This window comes from Homo sapiens, chromosome 2 (genome assembly GCF_000001405.40).
Source record: "Homo sapiens chromosome 2, GRCh38.p14 Primary Assembly".
Taxonomy (NCBI): Eukaryota; Metazoa; Chordata; class Mammalia; order Primates; family Hominidae; genus Homo; species Homo sapiens.
The window spans coordinates 110230157-110245637 of NC_000002.12; the positions used below are offsets into that span (position 1 = coordinate 110230157).

General features: G+C 41.7%; 1 long non-coding RNA gene across 1 annotated transcript; it reads right to left on the reverse strand.

Annotated features, from left to right (window-relative positions):
* Nucleotides 1–4329: 4329 nt before the first annotated feature.
* LOC124906059 (uncharacterized) lies at nucleotides 4330–15162 on the reverse strand. Its single transcript, XR_007087175.1, has 2 exons — nucleotides 14832–15162; nucleotides 4330–5096 (listed from the first exon to the last, which is right to left on the reverse strand). It is a non-coding gene; the product is annotated as an uncharacterized LOC124906059 (long non-coding RNA).
* Nucleotides 15163–15481: the final 319 nt, after the last annotated feature.

Genomic DNA, 15481 nt, shown 5'->3' on the forward strand with positions numbered 1-15481 from the left:
TGGACCTGCTACATTTCACCCCCCACCCCCACCTTTGTAAGTAGTCCTTTGATTAAACTCTCCTCATATCCTCCTAATTTGAGTGTCACATGTTTTTACTGCTTGAATGCAGAGCAATACATCCTCCCACCTCCACCCCCAAAGACCTGATTGTTGTCCTGCATTTCATATGAAGTTGAGCTGCATAATTTAGAGCTCTGCGTCGGTTAATTTGGCACATAAAACAACGTTGTATATTGACTGATTGATGAAAATACTGTGACCAGAGACTTGCAGGAACCCAAACCTGTATGTCCTCTAGGAGCAATGGTTCAGTATTTGCTAATTCACTGTTTGTGGTCACTTTATAACCAGAATAATGAGAATCAAATGTACTTCAACTTTTGAGTTTCAATACACTTCTAAAAATCTAATTCCCTGCTCACCAGGGCTTTATTTTTCTAGTCTTTTTTCCCATGCTGAGGTAATGGATTTTGAAAATACCAGGTTTGAAGACTACAGCCACTGTAAGCCCCCCAAAAACCCTGGTGAATTGTTTGTAATTAGCAGTGCAGATCAGTGGCTCCCCTACTCTACCAGGAATGGAAACCACCTGTGGACTTGTTTCAAAATACAGTGCAGGGGACCCAACACCAGACCTAAGTCAGCATTTTCAGAGACAGGATTTGGGCATCTAAATTTTAAACAAGTGCTGCAAATGATTCTACCTGGCAGCCAGGTTTGGGAAACGCTGATGTAACTCTTACTTATTATGTATCCATATGTTTATGTTGTTTGTTTCTTTTTGCTCGTCTCCTTTTCTGCCTCCTGACAGCCCCATTATGGTGTCATTGGCTTTATTGTATGTCTCCTATTATTTTACCCCTCTCTCTCCAGTTTCTAGAAAATTTCTCCACAAACTGAGAGCTCCAGAATTGATGACTCAGAGTGAACCGAGGAGATCACTACTGTGCACAAGTTTGCCTCCAAACAACTGGGTGATGCCTCCAAACAGGTCAGATGTTTTTCACCATATTTTAGAGACAGGAACATGTAGCTATTGGGTACCTGATGTGTGACCATGAAAATCCCAGGAATTTTAGGGGATATCTTAAAGTAACTCTCAATATTAATGCTGCTAAATTTAAGGAGTCAAATTGGAAAGAGTTGTACATTTTAAAAATATATTATGGATAATTTAAAATATATACAAAAGTAGAAAGAAAAATATAATAAACTCTCATGCCACTGTCATACAGCTTCACACTGATTAACTCATAGTCAACCATGTTCCATTTGTATGCCCCCTCACTCCTCATCATTTTATGTATAAACATCTCTAAAAAGATATGATCATCTCTAAAAAGTAAGACTTCTTTATAAAATGTAATAACAACATCATTATCACATCTAAAAATGTAATAATCCTTTAAAATTATCAAATATCCAGTTAGTTCAATTTTCTCTGTCACATAATTTTTTTAACAATTTTTTTGTTCAAACTAGGATCCAAATTGAAATTGGCCAATTGGCCAATATGTCTTTTAAGTCTCTTTTGAGGCTGGCTCATGCTTGTAATCCAAGCACTTTGGGAGGCTGAGGCAGGAGGATTACTTGAGGCTAGGAATTCAAGACGAGCCTGGGCAACAGAGTGAAACTCCGTCTCTACAAAAAAAATTTAAAAAACTAGCCGGGCATGGTGGCACATGCCTGTAGTCCCAGCTACTCTGGAGGCTGAGGTGCGAGGATGGCTTGAGCCTAGGAGTTCGAAGTTGCAGTGAGCTATGACTGGACCATTGCACTCCATTCTGGGTGACAGAGTGAGACCCTGTCTCAAAAAATTTTTTAAAAATTTCTTTTGATCTATAGATTTCTCTCCACTCCCCTTTGTTTGTTTGTTTGTTTGTTGAAAATGGATGGTTTGTCCTCTAGAGTTTTCTGCAATCTGGATTTTATTAATTACATCCCTCTGGTGTCATTTAGCACATTCCTTGGTTGCCTGTATTCCTCAAAACTCAGCATTAGAACTGGAGACCTGGACAGATTCAAGTTCTAATTTTTGGCAAAAGTGTGTCTTAGGTGTTAGTGTGTTCTCGCATTGGGAGAAAAAGACATTTTTCTTTTTTGTGTGATGTTAGTAGTCACTGATGGTCATTGCCCATATCCACTAACTCATCAGGGATTGCTTGTGGTTATATTTTAATTGTACATTTCTTTTTCATTTCTCAGCTGGAATACTTCAATAAAGAGAAGCTTTCCATTATCTACAGTTTGGTTACTCTGAATATAGTTTGACTCAGAAAAGCAGTATCCCACCTTTCAAGATGCTTGAATCTTCCCCTCTGCTTACCAGTTTTCTAAATAATGAAGTGATTTTCTAAGCATTCTCTAGTTATATATCTGTATCATTAGAAATGCACAGACTTTTAGCATACTTAATATGTTTCAATGTTTTGCCATTATTATCCTTATTGGTGGAGAAATGGCCTTATTCTGGCTAGCAGAAGCTCTTTAATTTTGTCCCTGAGCCCTTCGGACATGCTGCTAGCCATCTCAGACAGCCTCCTTGGTTCCTGGTATGACAAGATGTTTTAGGTTTATTTGTGTATTTCCTTCTCCAGACCTGGAATCATCCATTTCTCCAAGGATCTCTGCTTCTTCTTGTAAAATAGGCTATTTAAGGACTACAATCTGAGCATTAAGGGTGAGTCCTTTTCCTCATTCTTCCAAAGATAACTTTGAAAGAAGTTTTTAGTATGTCCTGCCTTTGGTATTTTAATATAAGCAAATATGTTTATATATTCATATTCTATCTTAGATGAATAGCAATATGCTATACACATTTATCTCTACCTTGCTTTTTCACTGAATATATCCTGGCCATCACTTCATAGTATCCAGAGACAGACTCCATTTCTTTTTATGGCTGAACAGTACTCCATTATGTGAAGGTTCCACTTTTTCCCACCAGTCCCCTCTTAATGGAAACCATTCCACACCACTTACAGAAAGTCTCATTCAACAAACAGTTTTTGAAAACCTTCTGTTTTCTGGACACTATTTTAGGTGCTTGGGAAATACCTGTGCACAAATTAAAGATCTCCACCCTTGTGGAGATTGTGTTCTATCAGGAGTACACAGATAGTTAAGAATAAATGGAAGATATAAAGAATCATATCGTGTGGCAGAAGGTGATAAGGGCAATGCAAGGAAGTAAAAGATCAAGGGGGAGGGGAGCAGGAGGGCAGCGGTGGGCTGAAGAGTTCAGTAGGGTGGGGATCAGGGTCTGCCTCCCTAAGAAGGTACGATCTGAGCAAACACTTGGGTGTCTGGGGAATGCATCATCCAGGCTAAGGGAATAGCTAGAGCAAAGGCCCTGGGGAATGTTTGAGGAGCATAAAGGAAGCCATTGAGGCTGGAGTGGAGTGGAGTGAGTGAGGGGAAGGGGAAGGAGATGGAGCCAAAGACAGCAGGGCTCCTGCGTGCCCTGCCTTGTGAAGGCATTGGAGAAGGTTTGGCCTCTATTTTCAACCACCACTGTTGACTTTGCCCCTACCTCTTGATTGTCACATTGCAGTGTTTTAAAAAGAATTCCACAAAATCCTGTGGAATCTAGGGGATAACTGGCAAATAGAATTGGGTGGAATTCTCAGGCTGAATATGGACTTTGTTCATTTTCCCAGCTGAAACTACCTAGTAGCTGCAGAGTAGAGTAGAGATGCCTCTGTGCTAGTAGGTCTGGGTTTGCAATCCCAGTGCTGCCATTTTCAAGCTGTGTGACCTGAGGCAGTCTGATGCTCCTCTCTGAACCTGCATTTCCTAAGCTCTAATGTGGATGTTGTAATCAGTACTTCTTATGGGCTGAATTGTATCTCCTCAAAATTCATGTGTTGAAGTCCTAACCCCCAGTATCACAGAATATGGTAGGGTCTTTAAAGAGGTAATCCAAGTAAAATGAGGTCCTTAGAGCAGGCCCTGATCCAATAGGACTGTCCTTATTAGAAGAGGAAACTTGGACACAGATACACACAGAGGGAGCACCGTGTGAAGACACAGAGAGGAGATGGCCAGCTACCAGCCAAGCAGAGAGCCCTTACTGTAAACCAACCCTGCCGCATCCTGATCTCAGAATTTTGGCTTCCAGAACTGTAAGGAAACACATTTCTACTGTTTAAGCCACTTGGCTGGGAGTACTTGGTTATGGCAGCCTGAGCAGACTAAACCAGCACCTCAAAGAGTTGTTATAGGGTATGCTTAGTGGTAACTGGTTCCTAAAGGCCTTGCTTTCTAAGGCTGACTCCTCACCCTGCAAGGATGCATTCTCCCCACTGGCAGATATGCAACCAGGAACAGGCATTAACACGCTTTATTCCCAGAGTTTTAATATTTTCCATTGCATAAAATATTTGTTCATGAAAATGACAAAATTGCTATTAGATTCTATCACCACATCTCTGTTGATTTTACTTTCTGCAAACACATACAAGTAATGTAGGCATACAGTTAAAAATGAAACCTTATCCTGTAGTTCCAGCTACTAGGGAGGCTGAAGCAAGAGAATGGCATGAACCTGGGAGGCGGAGCTTGTCGTGAGCCCAGATCAGGCCACTGCACTCCAGCCGGGGCAACAGAGCGCAACTCCGTCTCAAAACAAACAAACAAAACAAAACAAAAAAAACTTATAGACAAGTACAAAATGAGAAGAAAAAGTCCCTTTCCCTTCATGCCTCTACTTCCTGCTGTATTCTCAAAGGTAAGCACTGATTACAGTTTACTTATGGATCTTTCCAGGAAAATATTTTATGCATTTATCAGAAAATGTAAGTATATGCATCCTTTAAAATTCTGCATAAATCAAACTCTGCAGGGTACTATCTTCCCATCCTCATTTGATATTTTGTAGATCTTTTCCTATTGGCTGTACAGATCACCTCATTCTGTCTCCTGGGTCATACAATATAGCTCACATAATTCTAAGTCTGAAGGTTGGTCCAAATGGTTCCAAGAATGCAGGTACCAAAAAGTAGTCTCTTGAAGAGGCCATCAGAGACCTGGCTGTTTGTATCTTCCTCCTCTGCCATCCACAGTGTCATCTTCACCCAAGGTGGCTGGAGAAGCTGTTAGGAATATGTGGTTTTTTAAAAATTACATTCATAGGAAAAGGGGAGGGAAGAGAAGAAGAAAACCTCTCCCCCTAAGCTCATGGCTCTTTTTAGTCAGGCTGAGCCAACTAAAGTCATGTACTTCCCTTAGATAGGTAACTGTTGCCAGGAAAATGCCCTGTGTGGATTGGCCTGGACTAAGCAGGATCCTCCTTTAAAGAGAGAGATGAGATGAATGCCTGACCCAAGTCTGGGATCTTGGGTGGGAAGCGTGTGGATAGTAGGTCAGAGGTCAGCAGTGTCTGTGGTGTAGGATGTAATCCCATCTCCACAGAGCTGCATACAAGTGTGTTTAAGTGTGTGCAAGTGATTAACTTTGATTAGTAGTTTCAACTCTTTACAATGAACATATTTATCTTTTTTAAAAAATAAAGCCATTTTAAAAGATCTTGCCATAAAACAATCATTCCTTAAGTCACCACTTAGGATAGACCTAGAATATTTGTCCTTTCTCAAGAGCACCAGAGAGTTTTCTGGTAATCCACGCAATAAACAGTTATAAAAGGTAATTGTTGAGATCAGGGGAAGATGGCAGATAGGAGGCAGTGCTAATGTGTAGCTCCCACATGGATGGACAAAACACCATGTGGAGACTCACACTGTGACCCTGTTGTGCTCCAAGAACTATCATAGGAACATACTGGGAAAACCAAAAGAATTCACGGATCCTTTGAAAGAAGACGCACACCACTGTAAATTCTGTGGAACAGGAGAAAAACTGTGAGTTCCCAAAGTGTAAGAAGGGGGAAACCTACCTTTGAACACACATCCCCACTGGGGAATCTAAAAATCCAGATCATAGGAGAAGGATTTAATCTTAACCAGAGATGAAATGAGTTTAGGGAGATGTAAGAAAAATAAAAGTATGAGAGTAGTAGTGGGAAGTGCCTTGAATGGACTCCCAGTCTCCAGCTTGAGCCCTAGGAAGCCATCCCTGACTGTATCTCACACAGCCACTCAGGGAAGGCAGCCAGTGGAACTGGAGAGGAGTTGCAGGGCAAAGGAAGCTCTCAACTGAAATTGGTAGTGGTTTTGACCGGGCACAAACTTTCTCGAGCAGAGTCTGGAGGATGAGCGGGAACTGCTGTGGATACAAGCAAGCGAGTGCAGGAGTGCAGGAGCTGCTGCTGGCAGAGTGGGCAGACAGGGAGGGGTGAGGTCCTTAAGCCACGCTTGCTTTCTCAGCAGGGTAGCTCACGGCCTGAGCAGGAGCACTGTGGGAGTGAGACCGACCTCGCCAACTGCTTGGGAACTGGGCGAGAGCTCGTATTAAGGGCTATCCAATGCTTTCCTGGAAAACTATATAACACAGCAGAGGGCCAAGATCCACTCTAGAACAGTACTCCATTAGCCTAAGAACCACTCCTTCATTCCCCCACAGTGGCTACTGCAAGCCCTGTCCAAGGAGAGTCTGACCCCAGACCCACCTAACCCTGCCCCCACTTGATGGTATTTCCCTAGCCACCCTGGTAGCCCAGCACAAAACACAGAACCTCTTGGGAGCTTTATGGCCATGCCCATCACCTGAGAAACCAAAATGCTTACCCTGGCCACCTTAGGACAAGCTTAGAGCCCCCTACTACTATGGCAGCTGGTGCTCTCTTGAAAGTGCCACCTCGTCGCTGGAGGCCAACCAACTCAAGCCATTACAGCAACTCATGACAGAATAATGCTGATCTTAGGAAGGAGAAGACAACACCTAATTCTACTGCCTGCAACATCCTGGCTAAACAGAGGTCCTGAAGATGTCCACGTGACAATTTCACTGTTATGACAACCAGCATTCAAGAAAGCCAGCACACTAAACCTATCTATAACCAAGGACTCTCACAGAGTCTACTTCACTTCCCTGCCACCTCTACCAGAGCAGGTGCTGGTATCCATGGCTTGGAGACCTGAAGACAGATCACATCACAGGAATCTTTGCAGACATCCCCCAGGACCAGTCCAGAGCCTGGTATCCTCACTGGTAGCTAGACCCAGAAGACAAATAACAATCACTGCAGTCCAGCTCTCAGGAAGCCCCATTCCTAGAAGAAAGGGGAGAGCACTACATCAAGGGGTTACCCAGTGGGACAAGAGAATCTGAACAGCAGGCCTTGACTTTCAGATCTCCCCACTGTATTAGTCTACCCAATTGAGAAGGAAGAAAAGTAATTCTGGTAATATGACAAAACAGGGTTCTAGAACACCCTCAAAAGATCATACTGGCTCGCCAGCAATGGATCCAAACCAAGAAGAAATCTTTAAATTGTCAGATAAATAATTCAGAAGGTCAATTATTAAGCTATTCAAAGAGATACTAGAGAAAGGTGAAAACGAACGTAAAGAAATTGAAGGCCAGGTGTGGTGGCTCACGCCTGTAATCCCAACACTTTTGGAGGCCGAGGCGGGTGGATCACAAGATCAGGAGATCAAGACCATCCTGGCTAACACGGTGAAACCCCGTCTCTACTAAAAATACAAAAATTAGCTGGGTGTGGTGGTGGGCACCTGTAATCCCAGCTACTTGAGAGGCTGAGGCAGGAGAATTGCTTGAATCCGGGAGGTGGAGGTTGCAGTGAGCCGAGGTTGCACCACTGCACTCCAGCCTGGGTGACAGAGTGACCCAAAATAAATAAATAAATAAATAAAATAAAGAAATAAAAAAATACAGGATATGAATGAAAATTTATCCAGAAAAATAGATATCATAAAGAAAAAACAATCACAATTTCTGGAAATGAAAGACACCTAGAGAAACACAAAATGCAATGGAACATTTTAACTATAGACTTGAACAAGTATAAAAAAGAACTTCAGGGCTCAAAGACAAAGCTTTCAAATTAACCCAATCAGACAAAGACAAAGGAAAAATAATTTTAAAAAATGAACAAAGCCTCCATGAAACTTGAGATTATGTTAAATGGCCAAACCTAAGAATGATTGGTGTTCCTGAGGAAGAAGAGAAATCTAAAATTTTGGAAAACTAATTTGAGGGAATAATTGAGGAAAACTTCCCTAGCATTGACAGAGATCTACACATCCAAATACAAGAAGCTCAAAGAACACCTGGGAAATTCATTGCAAAAAGACCATAACCTAGGCACATAGTCATCAGGTTATCTAAAGCCAAGACAGAGGAAACAATCTTAAGAGCTGTGAGACAATAGCACCAGATAACCTATAAAGGAAAACCTATCAGATTAACAGAAGACTTCTCAGCAGAAACCTTACAACCCAGAAGAGATTGGGGTCCCACCTTTAGCCTCCTGAAACAAAATAATTGTCAGTCAAGAATTTTGTATCCAGCAAAACTAAACATCGTAAATGAAAAAGAGAAAAGTATTTTTCAGCCAAACAAATGCTGAGAGAATTTGCCACTACTAAGCCAGCACTACCAGAAATGCTAAAAGGAGTTCCAAACCTTGAAACAAGACCTTGAAATACATCAAAATAGAACCTCTTTAAAGCATAAATCTCACAGGGCCTATATAACACGATGAAAAAAATTATTAAGGCAACAACTAGCATGATGAATAGAACAGTACCTCACATCTCAATACTAATGTTGAATGTAAATGGCCTAAATGCTCCACTTAAAAGACACAGAATGGCAGAATGAATAAAAATCCACCACTAAGTGTGTGCTGTCTTTGAGAGACTCACTTAAATGTATAAGGACTCACATAAATTTAAGGTAAAGAGGTGGGAAAAGATATTCCACGCAAATGGAAACCAAAAGTGAGCAGGAGTATCTATTCTTATATCAGACAAAACACACTTCAAAGCAACAACAGTAAAAAAAAGACAATAGGCACATTATACAATGATAAAAGAAATAGTTAAATGGGAAAATATTACAATCATAAATACATATGCACCGAACACTGAAGCTCCCAAATTTATAAAATAATTACTAGTAGACCTAAGAAATGAAATAGAAGGCAACATAGTAATAGTGGGGGACTTCAATACTCCATTGACAGTGCTAGACAGGTCATCAAGACAGAAAGTCAATAAAGAAACAATGGACTTAAACTAACTCTGGATCAAATGGACTTAACAAATATTTACAGAAGATTCTACCCAACAACTGCAAAATATACACTCTTTTCTTCAGCACATAGAAAATTTTCCAAAATAGACCATATGATAGGTCACAAAGCAAGTCAGTTAACTTAAGGAAATTGAAATTATATAAAGTATTCTCTCAGACCACAGTGGAATAAAACTGGAAACGACTCCAAAAGGACCCCCTAAAACTATACAAATACATGGAAATTAAATAATTTGCTCTTGAATGATGTTTGGGTCAACAATGAAATCAGGATGGAAATTTAAAAATTCTTTGAGTTGAACAATGACAGTGAAACAACTTATCAAAACCTCTGGGATACAGCAAAAGTGGTGCTAAGAGGAAAGTTTAAAGCATTAAATGCTTACATCAAAAAGTCTGAAAGAGCACAAGTAGGCAATTTAACATCATACTTCACGGAACTAGAGAAACAAAAACAAACCAAATCCAAACTCAGCAGAAAAAAAGTAAATAACAAAGATCAGAGCAGAACTAAATGAAATTAAAATTAAAAACACAAAACATAAATGAAACAAAAAGCAGTTTCTTTGAAAAGATAAAACACAATTGATAGACCATTACTGAGATTAACCAAGAAGATAGAAGATCCAAATAAGCTCAATTAGAAATGAAACTGGAGATATTACAACCAATACCCCAGAAATACAAAAGATCATTCAAGGCTACTATGAACACTTTTATGCACACAAATTAGAAAATCTGGAAGAGATGGATAAATTCCTCCCATATTAAATCACGAAAAAATAGAAACTCTGAACAGACCAATAATTAGCAAGATTGAAACAATAATAAAAAAAATTGCCAACAAAAAAATGTCCAGAACCAGATGGACTGACAGGTGAATTCTATTAGACATTCAAAGAAGAATTGATACCAATCTTACTGAAACTATTCCAAAAGATAGAAAAAGAGGGACTCCTCCATAAATCATTCTATGAAGCCAGTATCATCCTAATTCCAAAACTGGGAAAGGACATAACAATAAAAGAAAACTACAGACTAAGATCCCTGATGAACACAGATGCAAAAATACTCAACAAAATACTAGCTAACTGAATCCAACAGCATATCAAAAAGGTAATACAATAGGATCAAGTGGGTTTCATACCAGAAATGCAAGGATGGTTTAACATTCACAAGTCAACAAATGTGACACATCACATCAACAGCATTAAAAACAAAAATCATATGATCATCTCAATCAATGCAGAAAAAGCATTTGATAAAATCCAGCAAAACTGGTATACAAGAGACATACCTCAAGGTTATAAAAGCCATCTATGACAAACCCACAGCCAACATGATACTGAATGGGGAAAAGTTGAAAGCTTTCTTCCTGAGAACTGGAACAAGACAAAGATGCCCACTTTCACAACTTTTATCCAGCGTAGTGCTGGAAGTTCTAGCCAAAGCAATCAGACAACAGAAAGAAATAAAGGGCATCTAAATTAGTAAAGAGGACGTCAAACTGTTGCTGTTCACCGATGATATAATTGTATGCCTAGAAAAGCCTAAAGACTCACCCAAAAAGCTCATAGATCTGATAAATGAATTCAATAAAGTTTTAGGATACAAAATCAATGTACACAAATCAGTAGCACTGCTGTACACCAACAACAAGACTGAGAAACAAATCAAGAACTCAATCCCTTTTACAACAGCTGCAAAAAATAAAATAAAATACTTTGGAATATACTGAACCAAGGAGGCGAAATATCTCTACAAGAAAAACTGCAAGACAGAAAGAAATCACTGATAACACAAACAAATGGAAGCACATTCCATGCTCATGGATGGGTAGACTCGATACTGTGAAAATGATCATGGTGCCAAAAGCAGTCTATGGATTCGATGCAATTCCCATCAAAATACCATCAGCATTTTTCATGGAGCTTTAAAAAGCAATCCTAAAATTCAAATGGAACCAAAAAAGACCCTACATAGCCAAAGCAAGACTAAGCAAAAAGAACACATCTGGAGGCATCACATCACCTGACTTTATACTACAAGGCTGTAGTTACCAAAACAGTATGGTACTGGTATGAAAACAGGCAAGTAGACCAATGGAACAGAATAGAGAACCCAGAAATAAAGCCAAATACTTACAGTTAACTGATCTTTGACAAAGCAAACAAAAACATAAAGTGGGGAAAGGACACCCTATTCAACAAATGGTGCAGGGATAACTGGGAAGCCACATGTAGAAGGGTAAAACTGAATCCTCATCTCTCAACTTATACAAAAATCAACTCAAGATGGATCAAAGACTTAAATCTAGGCCGAGCATGGGGGATCACAACTGTAATCCCAGCACTTTGGGAGGCCAAGGTGGCCAGATCACATGAGGTCAGGAGTTCAAGACCAGCCTGGCCAACATGGTGAAATCCTGTCTCTACCACAAATACAAAAAATTAGTCAGGCGTGGTGATGGGTGCCTGTAATCCCAGCTACTAGGGAGGCTCAGGCATGAGAACCTGAGAGTTGGGAGTTGCAGTGAGCGGAGATTGCTCTACTGCACTCCAGCCTGGGTGACAGAGTGAGATTGTCTCAAAAAAAAAAAAAAAAAAGAAAAGAAAAGAAAAGAAAAAAGACTTAAAATCTAAGACCCAAAATCATAAACATTCCAGAAGATAACATCAGTAAAACTACCCTAGACATTGGTTTAGGCAAAGAGTTCGTTAACTACCAAGAACCCAAAAGCAAATGCAACAAAAACAAAAATAAATACATTGGACCTAATTAAGTTACAAGTTTCTGCATAGCAAAAGAAATAATCAGCAGAGTAAACAGACAACCCACAGAGAGGGAGAAAATATTCTCAAACTATGCATCTCACAAAGGACTAATATTTAGAATCTACAAGGAACTCAAACAAATCAGCAAGAAAAAAACAAATAATCCCATCAAAAAGTGGGCAAAGGAAATTAATAGACAATTCTCAAAAGAAGATGTACAAATGGCCAACACACACATGAAAAAATGCTCAGCATCACTATCAGGGAAATGCAAATTACAACCACAATGAGATACTACCTACTCTTGCAAGAATGGCCATAATTTAAAAATCAAAAAACAATAGATGTTGATGTGGATGTGGTGGAAAGGGAACACTTTTACACTGCTGTTGGGAATGTAAACTAGTACAACCACTATAGAAAACACTGTGGAGATTTTTTAAAGAGCTAAAAGTACAACTACCATTTGATCCAGTAATCCCACCACTGGGTATCTATCCAGAGGAAAAGAAGTCATTATATGAAATAGATATTGCACACTCATGTTTATAGCAGCACAACTCACAATTGCAACAATTTGGAACCAGCCTAAATGCCCATCCACCAATGAGTGGAAAAAGAAAACGTGGTGTATATGTGTACATATATATACATATACACCATGGAATACTACTCAGTGATAAGAATGAATGAAATAATGGCATTCACAGCAACCTCATGGAGTTTGAAACCATTATTCTAAGTGTAGTAACTCAGGAATGGAAAACCAAATATTGTATATTCTCACTTATAACTGGAAGCTAAGCTACGAGGATTCAAAGGCATAAGAATTACAAATTGGACTTTGGGGACACCGGAGAAATGGGGGAAGGGTGGTTAAGGATAAAAAACTACGTATTGGGCACAATGTACACTGCTCGGATGATGTGTGCACCAAAATCTCAGATATCACCACTAAAGAACTTATCTATGTAACAAAAACCACCAGTTCCCCCAAAACTACTGAATTTCTTTTTTAAAAAAGGTAATTAAGATACCTTGTAGACAAGGACCTTTGATTACACACTGGTAGAAATTTCACTTTACCATTTCAGCCACCATATGCCTGCTGTCTGCCCGGGGCTTGGGATTCAAAGACAAATGTTTCCAGTTCCCTTCCTCCCACAGGTGCTTGTGGCCTGGTGGGAAGCAGGCAACATGTGCACATAGATCAAAGGAAGCACCAAGTAGCTGTTTTCACGAAGGGTGTGGTGAGCACAGAAAGGAAGCCACCTGTTGGCCTGGAGAAGTTGAGGAAGGGCTCTCAGGGGATGTTAGAACTGAGTGGTAACAGTCAGAGGAGAGGGGTGAAGTGCCATGCCTGGCATGCCTGCCGAGAAACTGTGGCCACATGCAGTTCTCATTGCAGGCCAGCCTCCAGCTAGGACACAATTCTGGTGTTGCAATGCAGGTCAGTGTCCTGTATTACTTTTCTATGCTGCATAACACATTGCCACATGGATTCTCTGCTCGGTGTCTCACAAGGTGGGAATAAAGGTGTCAGCAAATTGTGTTCCTTTCTGCAAGGCCCTGGGGAAGAATTCACTTTCGAGCTCATTCAAATTGTCAGCAGAACTTTAGTTCCTTGCAGTTCCCTTCATCCTCGAGGCAACAGCGTCCCATCCAGGCACACTGAGTCTTTCATAAGCTTCAAATGTCTCCTCTCCCCTGTCTTGCTCTTTAGGGTTTAAGGGTGATTCCACCAGGCCAACCCAGATAAATCCAGGATAACCTCCCTATTTTAAAGTCAACTGATTAGAAACCTGTCCACAAGGCTCTTTTGCCTTGTAAAGTAACAGATTCATAGTCCCAGAAATTAGGGTTTGAATTCTCTTAGAGGACTATAATGCTGCCTGCCAGTCTCCCACCTGGAACTTGCCAGAAATCAGCACCTAGCACTAAGTCTTTATTTAATTTTTTATGTTTAGAGAGCAGTATTGCTGTTGCCCAGGCTGGATTACAGTGGTGCAATCACCACTCACTGCAGCCTCAACCTCCTAAGCTCAAGCCATCCTTCATCTCTGCCTAGACTAGCCAACTATAGGTTTGCCACCATGCCCAGCTCTTTTTTTTTTTAAAGAGATCTGGTCTGGATATGTTGCCTACGCAGGTATCAAACTCTTGGGCTTGGACAATCCTCTTGTGTCTGGAGTTGGTTCCTTCCGGTGGGTTCCTGGTCTTCAAGAATGAAGCCATGGACCTTGCTGGTGAGTGTTACAGCTCTTAAAGATGGCAGGGACCCTGCAGTAGCAAGGTTTATTGTGAAAACAGAAAGAATAAAGCTTCCGCAAAGCTGACCGGGACCCAAGCAGTTGTCGCTGCCGGCTGCGGTGGTGGCCAGCTTTTATTCCCTTATTGGCCCCTCCCATGTTCCGTTTCTGTCCTATCAGAGTGCCCTTTTTTCAATCCTCCCCGCAATTGGCTACTTTTAGAATACCGCTGATTGGTGCATTTTACAGAGCACTGATTGGTGCGTTTTACAATTTTCTTGTAAGACAGAAAAGTTCCTGATTGGTGCATTTTACAATCCTCTTGTAAGAAAAGTTCCCCAAGTCCCCACTGCACTCAGGAAGTCCAGCTGGCTTCACTTGTCACTCCCGCCTTGGCCTCCCAGAATGCTGGGATTACAGGCATGAGCCACTGGCTTGGCCTAGCACCAAGTCTTGATGAACCACCCAGAGGGACATCACACCTCATGCCAGGTGACAGGGATTGTCACAGTCCCGCCAGGCTTCTCCCTCCTCTGGGAGGAGTCAGTGAAGTTGGTTGGTACAGGAGCCCAGGACCACCTGCTTTGCCCGCCAGGGCTTACCTGACAGTTGGCCGGCAAGTACTTACCATTATTATTGTTTTAACTTCATGATCAACGTTTTAAAAAATCAGGAGCGGTCTCATTAAAACTCAGATTTCCGCTTTCTCTTGAAAATTCAGCAGCTCTGGCAACCCTGAGTTCCAGGTCAGGCTGGAACTGGGGGCGCCCCATGGGAAGAGGGGAGGGCGCGCGCCCCCTCTCGGGAGGTATTTGCCTCGAGAGGCCCCACTAGGAGCCCACACTACGCTCTCCTGGGGGGTCCCCTAGGACGGGGAGGGAACTAATAATTACTGGGCCCTCCCCAGCGGCAGCCGTGGCTCCTACATTAGCTGGTTTAATTCTCCAAACAGGTCTTGGAGGAAGGCATCCTTCTATTCTACTGATCAGAAAGCTGGACAAAGTCCCACTGCCAGGCTACACAGTTGGTGCCATTTGCGGAGGTGACCTTTGACCTTTAACCCACGCGGCCACCCGCCCGAGCTCTTACCCCTGCTGCCCCTCGCGCGTCCCACTCCCCGTCCCTGCCGGATCCGCTTCCCTGCGCTGGGCCCAGCGCGCCGCCAGGGAAGGGGCCGGAGCCTGGGAGCCCGCCCCGCCGTCGCCCGTCCTCCGCCCGCAGGCCCACCCGCAGCGGTCACGTGAAGGACCGAGCGCCGCGCGCCCAGGCGGGGCCTCC